The 10756-nt window shown below is 45.1% G+C and overlaps 2 annotated features.

The window, feature by feature from the left end:
* Nucleotides 2286-2445: an enhancer, noted in NCBI's record as "active region_18506". NCBI's record gives its function as "activates an Ori minimal core promoter by ATAC-STARR-seq in GM12878 lymphoblastoid cells {active_cell/tissue: GM12878}" and the evidence as "EXISTENCE:reporter gene assay evidence [ECO:0000049][PMID:35858748]".
* Nucleotides 2586-2825: an enhancer, noted in NCBI's record as "active region_18505". NCBI's record gives its function as "activates an Ori minimal core promoter by ATAC-STARR-seq in GM12878 lymphoblastoid cells {active_cell/tissue: GM12878}" and the evidence as "EXISTENCE:reporter gene assay evidence [ECO:0000049][PMID:35858748]".

Genomic DNA, 10756 nt, shown 5'->3' with positions numbered 1-10756 from the left:
GCAAAGGTTTTGTCTTTAGAAACCATCGAAATCTTAACTTAAAAATTTCGAATATTCAGATCTCTTTATAAAACCTGATGGAGCACTGGAGACAGGATCTTTAAAGTTGCTGGGGCTAAAAGCCCACCTCCCCCTCAGCCGCAGCTCTGCAGCGGGTGCCCCAGCAGCTTGCGGCAGGCGCCACTGTCCACTTCTCTGGTCTGTAGGCAGCGCACACCATCCCGTGTTGGCAGTCCCAGGCGAGCCAGTGCTTTCGTGGGCTTATTGTTCAGCAGTGAGAATGCATTTTCCCATCTGTGCAAGGGTGAGGTTCCCAGGCCAGTCCATAAAAGCCTGTTTTTGTTTCATTTGTAAATAGATTGCCTCACTGTAATTCCTCATGGTACCAAACTGTAGGACTCAGTATAGAGAGCTCTGCAACACTGTGGGTGTTGGAAAAATATTCCAAATTTGGCCCCTGGCCTCCAGGGCTATAGGCTTGGTCTTCCCTTCACACAAGATCTCTGGAAGCCCACATGCCACAGCCACACAGGTGCTGAGGAATCCACTGGGATCCAGGCGGGGTTTTGTGCAGGGGCAAGTATGGCCCAGCATCACCTACAGGGTGGTTCTTGGCCAGGGGGACAACCCCAGGGCCGAGGAGGTGAGATGGAGATGACAGGATATTGGTTAACACAGTCATTTCTGAGGGTTGAGACTTGAGAGCTCCGATGGCTTCTAAACTGTGTAGCAAGGGCTGATGAAGCGAACACCAATAGAGCTCCCGTCAGCACAAAGTATCTCACCTGAGGAGGAGGCCATTCGGGTTCATCTTACATGCCCAGTCCGATCTGCCAGTACGGCTGTCACTGCCTTAATTCCTGTGGAGCCAAGCCCACACTCAGCGGGGCCTGAGGCTCTGATTGTTTAGTGATGTCTGCCACGGAACGGGGCAGGGACACTGTGCTGGGAATTTGCCAACCCTGGCCACATCTTCACTGGGAAAGTCAGTACCTGCCATACTTTTAGAATTCCCCATGGAAAAATGTGCTCTTAAATGCAAGCTGACACTGGGGTCATTTTCAGAAGTCCATACCAGAAGCATTATTTGTCAAGGATTCTACAATTGGGCACATAAATCTAAAAATGTTCTATGCCAAATGGCATCTATGCAATGTCAGGGAAAAAGCAGGCAGTCATGTTCTGGGGAAAAGGTTTTGTTTTCTGTACACAAAATTAAGTCTAGTCTAGAGAGCTGAAATCACTAGTTTTAAAAAGTTGAATGTTTCCCACTTCCGTGTCCAGAAAAACTTAGCTACAAAGTATATTTACAGCCACTGTATATTGCACTTGAGTTGCTTCTGCAATTTTATGTTGCCATACTTCATAACTCTTCAAAGTTGTATAGACACTAATATATTTTGGGACATTAAATAATATATTGTCAACTGATTTACAACATAATTTAAAAGATGTATTATAACTGAAATGTAACAATTCAATCATTCTTTTCTTTTTTTTTTTGAGATGGAGTTTCACTCCTGTCACCCAGACTGGAGTGCAGTGGCACAATCTCAGCTCACTGCAACCTCCACCTACTGGGTTCAAGCAATTCTCCTGCCTCAGACTCCCAAGTGGCTGGAACTGCAGGTGTGCGCTGCCACGCCTGGCTGATTTTTTGTATTTTTAGCAGAGATGGGGTTCCGCCATATTGGCTAGGCTGGTCTCGAACTTCTAACCTCAGGTGATCCGCCCGCCTCAGCCTCCCAAAGTACTGGGATTACAGGCGTGAGCCACTGCGCCCAGCCCAATCATTGTCAATTTAAAGTGTTTTTCATTCATAACTGTCCCCTAAAATGATAGGTGTCAGTGAGTCTGGGAACTTCTCCATAAGCAGTTATTGAAGGGCAAACAAATGATTAAAGCTCTCAAGGGGAGTTTCCTGGGAATTCTAGGATAGCAGAGGATCTTGGCTGACTGCGATATTCGTGCCACCCCATTGCAAGAGTGTGCACCATGGCACAGCTCATATCAGAGGCTGAGACAGGGAACTGTTGTCCCGGAAGCATTCACAGGGCTTGCAACCTGCTTCCCAGCAGATGCAAGTGTTGGGCCTGGAGCTCGTGTGGGAAGGACTGACTTCTGAACCCACAAACATCAACTTTCCACTGAAATCCACTGCAAAATGTCCATGCCTCTTAAATTGAAAAAAAAATCTTTTTAGCAACATAACTGAGCTCAACCAATATGAAGCAACCATATGTAGGACATCTTTTTGAATGAAGGAAGGAATGAATCAATGATGAACAGATAGATAAAGAGATAGATAGATGATAGATACATAGATAGGTAGGCAGAGAGAGAGAGATGATAGATTTCTAAATGAGTAAATGCCTTGCCCAGCCCCCTTCTCCCTGGGCTATGTCTGACTTCCGCTCGTGGTTTCCATCTTAGCCCACAGCCAAAGCTCTTCCTGGTTGCTCAGTCTTAGAGCCAACTTCTTAACTACTGGCTGTCTCGCTGTTGCAGCCTAGGCTGTGTGACTTGATCACAGGAAATACACTGGTTTCTCTTTCTGGCTGAGTTGTTGCTAACACTCCTGCAGCCCTTCTCTAACTGCAGAAGAGAAGGAGACAGTCGGCGAGGCCTCCACAAACTAAAAGCCTAGCAGTTCCAGACTGTGGGTGGTGGACAGTTTCATACTTTCTCCCAAGCAGATGTCTGTAAACTGCTTCCATTATTATGAAAGCAGTAACTACCTGTTACCAAGTGACTGCCCCGCGCTCAGCACTTTACTCTCAGCGCAGCCTAGCACTGTGGGGATTATTTAGGGTGGCTTTGCCAGGACTGGGAAGGAGGGGAGAGGAGTTCCTGGAAAGTGGGAATTTCAGTGCTAAAACCAGGACAAGTTGGTCCCTCCAAAGTGATTCCCATTTTCCAGGTGAGGTAACTGAGGCACAGAGGAGCCCCTGGCTTGTCTAGGGCACACAGCCAGTGGGGCAGCTGACTTCTGACCTCGTTTACTCTGATTCTAGGGCCTGTGCTAGGAAGCATGGACTTCCTCCTGCATGTTCGTATCCACATAGAACGGTCCAGTTGTCTTTCTCAATGGTCCAGACACAAGCTTTCGGGCCCTGGGTGAACCCTGAAAGACATAAGGAATAGACATGAGCTGCAGCGTTCAGCCCCCCTGTGGGGTACCCACCTGCCCCTGCTGGGGTACATACAATCTGAGTCAGCTGCCCCCACCAAAGGATGCCTCCCAATCTCCCCCAGCTCTCACCTCTACACCAGGCCTCCCCTCCATGAGCACGACCCTCACCCTGCTCAAACTCCTGCACCTCCTCTGACTCAGGGTACTGCCCTGTCCATGCCAGAATAGAACCCTATCCTGCTCAGCCCACCTCATGACTTTAGGACCAAATTATTCAGAAAACAAAAAGAAGCGGAAGATCTCTTTCGAAAAAATAGGATAAATTATAACAAAATAAAGATATATGAAACAATGCTTCTAGCCTTTTTCACTCCCAATGCACGTATCAGATACTTAAAAATTGGGTGTATTTCTGCTATGGACTCCCAAAATCCACGTGCTGAACCCCTGATTTCCAATGTGGTGGTATTTGGAGGTGCTGCATTGGGGAGGAGATAAGGTCACGAGGGTGGGGCTCTCATGTTTGGATTGGTGCCCTATACAAAGAGAGAGACACCAGCATGTTCATGCTCTCTCAACCCTAACCATGGGAGACACAGCAAGAAGTCTTCTGTTGGCCAGTCACGAAGAGGGCCCCCACCAGACCCTGACCCTGCCACCACCCTGATCTCACACTTCCCAGGCTCTGGAACTGGGAGCCTGTTGCTTTTGAGCCACCCAGTCCCCATGGCGGCCTAAGCTGACTGAGACAGAAAGTGGCCCTGAGGAGTGGGATGCTGCTGTAACCAAGAACCACAAATATGGATGCAGCTTTGGAGCTTGGTGATGAGTGGAGGCTGGAAGAGTTTGGGGGTCCATGCTAGAAAAAGCTGAGATAGCTGTGAAGGAAGCACTAAAGTCAATTTGCTGAGGGCTCAGAAAGGGGAGAGGAGAGCTGGAGGGAAAGCATTCATCATCTCAGAGGACACACAGACAACCATGAGCAGAATGCTGGTAGGAATACCAAAGGCCATGTGGGTGAGGTCTCAGGGGGAAATGAGAAACATGGCGTGGGACAGCAGAGGAAAGGTGATCTTTGTTATAAAGTAGCAAAAAACTGGGCTGACATGTGTTCCTGTTCTAGTGTTTTGTGGAAGGTGAAACTTGTAAAAGATGAAATGGGATCTTTAGCTGGGAATATTTCCAAGCAAAGTCGTGAAGGAGTGGCTTGGTTCCTCCTGACTGCTTATAGTGAAATGTGAGAAAAGATAATGGATTGAAGAAAGAATTGCTAAGCAAAACAGAACTAGAACTTAAAGATTTGGAAAAATCTCAGCCTATCTATGTTGTAAAAAATGAGAAGCCATGTTCAGAAGAGAACACTAAGGCTGTGGCCTCCAGAACTGTAAGAAATAAATTTCTGTTGTTTAAGCCACCCACTGTATGCTGTTGTGTTATAGCATCCTGTATTAATCCGTTTTCATGCTGCTGATAAAGACATACGTGAGACTGGGCAATTTACAAAAGAAAGAGGTTTAATGAACTTACATATGGCTGGGAAGGCCTCACAATCATGGTGGAAGGCGAAAGGCACGTCTCACATGGCGGCAGACAAGAGAAGAGAGCTTGTGCAGGGAAACTCTCCTTTTTAAAACCATCAGATATCGTGAAACTTATTCACTATCATGAGAACAACATGGGAAAGACCTACCCCCATGATTCAACTACCTCCGATTGGGTCCCTCCCACAACACGTGGGAATTCAAGATGAGATGTGGGTGGGGACACAGCCAAACCCTATCATACCCCAAGCAGACCAAAACAACATCCTTCCATAACTTCCTCTGATCATAACACATAAGTAATTGTGAGTGTGTGTGTGTCTGTGTGTGTGCATTATTTATGTGAGGTAGTTTTCCTTTTAAATCACTATGGAATTGTACTAATCATGTTACCTTTTCCATATCTTGAAAGCATTCCATGGCCATATATGCAGATCGTACCCATTATTTTATTAGCCACATCATCTTTCCTTGAATTGTAAGTGCCATAATTTATTCAGCTATTCTCTGATGTAGGAACATGAAATTTGCTTCCTTTTTTTTCTGCTAATACTGTTACTGGCATAATTTTCCTGCTAATACTAATACTGGCAACTCTAGCTTTGTCTTTTGTGTGCATGTTCTAGAAATGGTCAATAATATATTCTTCTCTATTAGTCATGGTTTTTCCTTAACTAGTAGTTTGTTTTTAAGAAATTGACAGTTTTACCTTATTTTTTCCTCTTATATTTGAAACAACTTGGGCTTATTTGTTTTTGAATGACCATGTTTTTTATCCCTGGCTGTCCTAAGATACTGAGATACTTGCATCTTTTTTTTTTTTTTTTTTTTTTTTTTTTTTAGACAGAGTCTTGCTCTGTCTCCCAGGCTGTAGTGCAGTGGCGCGATCTCAGCTCACTGCAAGCTCCACCTCCCGGGTTCACGCCATTCTCCTGCCTCAGCCTCCTGAGTAGCTGGGGCTACAGGCACCCACCACCATGCCTGGCTAATTTTTTTGCATTTTTAGTAGAGACGGGGTTTCACCGTGTTAGCCAGGATGGTCTCGATCTCCTGACCTCGTGATCTGCCCGTCTCGGCCTCCCAAAGTGCTGGGATTATAGGCGTGAGCCACCACACCCGGCCATACTCACATCTTAACAGATCTTAACAGGAGAGTAGCTTCCCGTATTGCTAAGGAACTATTCTGACCGATATAAGGGGAGAGTGAGGCCTCATCAACCTGGAAAGCCAAAAAGCCACGGCTTTAAGCAGTGGTATACTGATCCACACTGAACAATCAGATTTGGGGGTTCAAAATAACTCCCTGGCTTGTAGAGTTTGCCAAATTCCATGGTGTCAATGCTCCTACCACTGACCAATTAAAAGTGCCCAATATGACTTCCCTGGACACATCAGGAAGAGAGGTGCAGCTGCACCCTGTCGTGGAGTATTTCCACCATCAACAACCTCCGGAACTGACAGAATAAAATGGGATAACATAACTAGGAATTGATAAGGTTTGAGGATTGAGGATTTAGTACTCTTGGTTTTAAAATAATTCAATTTTGGACCAAGAGTGGGTTTAACGATTGGTCCCTACTGGCCAGTGGAGGCCACTGCCAGCTCCACTGGCGCCAAGTCCCTGCAGTTTCACTGGAGCCATCACCTCTTCCTCCTTTTCTTCCCCCACGGCCAAACGCACACCAATGACACTGTGAGGCTTACCAGAGCAACGAAATATTCCACCCAAGGAATTCCTCACTTCTGGGCACAGAAATTGCTTATGGTTTAAAAAAAAACTATTTCCCAGTCTTCTAACCATTAAGGTTTTAAAAAAACATGAGGCTCAATTGTCCAGTGGGTCCCAGGTATGTTAACTCAGGGAGCTCCTCTTCATTTTTCTATACAGACACCCACACCCCATGCCATGCACACAGACTACACACACCACACACATGCCCCATATATACACCACACACACACCCCACACATATACACCACACACACAAACCACACACACACCACACATACCCAAACACACATTCACCCCATGCACACCACACACACAGGCACATACACACACCACACATATACACCACACACCACACACACACCACACATACACACCACACACCACTCACACCATACACACACAACACACACATACCCAAACACACATTCACTACACGCACACCACACAGATGTGTGCACACACGCCACACACATCACACATACAAACGACACACACCACACCACACACCTCACACACATCACACAAACCACACACCACACACACAAACCACATACACCACACACCTCACACACATACCGTGCCACACCACATCATATACCACACACAACACATACAACACAAAACACCTACCTCACACACACACACCATAAACACACACCACACCACACACCTCACACACACACCACCACACATGCCACACAACACACACACTACACACACCACACCACACATCTCAGACACACACCACATCACACTACACCACACACCTCACACACACAACCACACACCTCATACACATACCACACACATATCACATATACATATACCACATACCACACACACACACACAACACCATACATCACACACACCATACCACACACACACACATGCACACAGTGTACCACACACCATACATCACACACACCACACACCACATCCACACACCGGACCACACACCATACAGACACTACATACACACTACATGCACACCACACATCACACACCACACATCTCCCATACATACACCACACCACACACCAGACATATACCACACAAACACACCACACACACACCCCACCACATACACACACTACACACACCGCACAGACACACTTACACCACACACACACATATATTTTTCCCTCTTCTAATAAACCATTGGCTTTGAATAGCTTATCTACTAAGCAGTCTCAGAATAGTTTGTATGTTTTTACACTTGTCTGCCTAATTTGTTTAATGTCATGAAGTCCCCTGCCAGAGTGATGTGTGCCCTGAGAGTCGGGCCGGCAGGCCTGGATTCCAGCCCTCATCCCTCAGCTGACCAGTCCCTGATGCTGTGCAGTCACACCACCTCTCCAGACCTCTTCACGAATAGGCAGGGTGGTGTGGGGACATGGTGCTGCCTCAAACATAAAACCTAGAAGAACAAATCCATACCCAAAGCCAGGTTTGGGATGCCCATGGCTGAGGATGGCTGGCTGGGCTCTGGGGCTGGAGGCAGGTGCTGGAGGGTCAGGAGTGAGGTGGGGATGGAGACAGCTCCCTGCTTAAAGCAGGGCAGGGGTCAGGCCAGCCCTGCTGGTGAAAGTGACTGAGAAAAAGCTGCTGCTGCCGCTGGCTGGGCTGGGCTGGGCTAGGGCTCCTTGGCCAAGGACACTGTGGGCAAGGGAGGGGATGGGTTTCACAGATGGCAGTGCTGAGACTCTGCTAGACAAGCCCCAGCCCCTAGGGAGAAGGAGGCTGGCCCAGGTGAGCCTTGGGATGGGAGGGAGCTGGCAGAGAGGGGGCCCAGAGCTGCTCCTTGGTTGGGGGACAAAAAAACAGAAACTCAAGTTCTCATGCAACATGAGCTTGCAAACCACAATTCTAAAACACATGGAGACGTCTAACAATCCACTGGCTTTGAATACCTTACTAAGCCTTCATAATAGTTTGTTTAAGTTTTTACAGTTGTCTGCCTAATTTGTGAGGCTTTCAAAGCTCCCCCCACTTTTTTTTGAGATGGAGTCTCATTCTATCACCCAGCTTGGAGTGCAGTGGAGTGATCTCAGCTCACTGCAACCTCCACTTCCTGGGTTCAAGCAATTCTCCTGCCTCAGCCTCCTGAGTAGCTGGGACTACATGTGCGTGTCACCACGCCCAGCTAATTTTTTGTATTTTTAGTAGAGACAGGATTTCACCATGTTGGCCAGGCTGGTCTCGAACTCCTGGCCTCAAGTGATCTGCCCACCTCAGCCTCCCAAAGTGCTGGGATTACAGGCGTGAGCCACTGCACCTGGCCTTTCAAAGCCTTTTTTAATGCCATGGAGTCACATAACTGAGTGAAGAGCTATCTGAAAACCAGGGCCAGCAGACCTGGATTCCAGCCCAAATGACCGATCCCCAAAACTAGCATTGGAAACATTAGAAGCATGCATTCACATCAAATAGAATTAATTTTATAGGACATTCTGGCGGAAATACTGAAGAAATTATTCAAATGTAAAAGAAGCAGAAGAAATTATTAAACAAAGAAAAAAGATATAAAAAGAGAATCACATTAAAAATTTTGAAAATGAAGGGTAGAATAATTGAAGTTTAAAACAAACCTTATACCTGGCAAAAAAAAGTAAAAAGAAGGAATTAATATAGGTAAAAGTAGAAGTCCCTGAGTTAGAAATCAGACATAGGTAGAATGGATGAATGGTCTGGTTCTTTGAAAAACATCTCCAAGAGAGAAAATTCAAAAGCCAACTTAGTTCTTTAAAAACAGGTTTAAAATACAAAAGTTGGTTTTCTGCTGATTCTTGAAGCTGCATCATTGTAGTTTGTTACACGAAGCTCTCTATTTTATGTTTAGACATTTCCATATAAAAAACTAAAAAGAGAGAAGAGAAATAGCAAGAAAACATTAACCAAAGAATACATGTAAATATCAGAAAAATAAATGTAAGGCAAAACCATGAGCAATAAATAGAGTGTCAGTACTCAATGACAAAGCTTCAGTTCACCAGGACAGTAAAACAAACATGTCTGTAGACAGGAGAGGGCCTTTCCCCAGCTCTCATCCTCACTGTCTCATGGCTTTTCCTAGGAATGTCAATTCCCAAGTACTTCTGGCCTGCCCTGCCTTCCGTATTTCCAGAAATGCCTTCTAACACAGAGATGCAGTCACTGCTAGTTGCGAGTTATACAGAACATCCCAAAATGACAGAGCCCCAGAGACATAGGTGACACCAGCCGCATCTGTGACATGAGAGAACACAGGCATGTTTCAGGCACAAGCAGAACATTTACAAAAATTTACCTAATTCCAGGACACAGAGCAAAACCCAAAAAATGTTAAAAATTTGGTTTCATGAACATTTTATTATTTATCCACAATTAATAATTAAACACAAAAGATAACTGGGGAGAGGGAGCACATGTTTAGGAATTAATAAATACACTAACTCACTCATGGGTCAAAAAAGAAACTATGTTGAAGTTAGAAAATAATACAAAAATTAACTCAAGATGGATTAAAGACTTAAATGTAAAACCTAAAACCATAAAAACCCTAGAAGAAAACCTAGGCATTACTATTCAGGACATAGGCATGGGCAAGGACTTCATGTCTAAAACACCAAAAGCAATGGCAACAAAAGCCAAAATTGACAAATGGGACCTAATTAAACTAAAGAGTTTCTGCACAGCAAAAGAAACTACCATCAGAGTGAACAGGCAACCTACAGAATGGGAGAAAATTTTTGCAATCTATCCATCTGACAAAGGTCTAATATCCAGAATCTACAAGGAACTTAAACAAATTTACAAGGAAAAAAAACCCCATCAAAAAGTGGGCAAAGGATATGAACAGACACTTCTCAAAAGAAGACATTTGTGCAGCCAACAAACATATGAAAAAAAGCTCATCATCACTGGTCATTGGAGAAATGCAAATCAAAACCACAATGAGATACCATCTCACGCCAGTCAGAATGTCAATTATTAAAAAGTCAGGAAACGATAGATGCTGGTGAGGCTGTGGAGAAATAGGAATGCTTTTATACTGTTGGTGGGAGTGTAAATTAGTTCGACCACTGTGGAAGACAGTGCGGCTATTCCTCAAGGATCTAGAACCAGAAATACCATTTGACCCAGCAATCCCATTACTGGGTATATACCCAAAGGATTATAAATCATTTTACTATGAAGACACATGCACACATATGTTTACTGCAGCACTATTTACAATAGCAAAGACTTGGAACCAACCCAAATGCCCATCAATGATAGACTGGATAAAGAAAATGTGGCACATATACACCATGGAATACTATGCAGCCATAAAAAAGAATGAGTTCATGTCCTTTGCAGGGACATAGATG

The sequence above is a fragment of the Homo sapiens genome, chromosome 21 (genome assembly GCF_000001405.40).
Source record: "Homo sapiens chromosome 21, GRCh38.p14 Primary Assembly".
NCBI lineage: Eukaryota > Metazoa > Chordata > Mammalia > Primates > Hominidae > Homo > Homo sapiens.
Note: the sequence above shows the minus strand (reverse complement) of the source record. Positions and strands in the feature narration are given on the sequence as shown.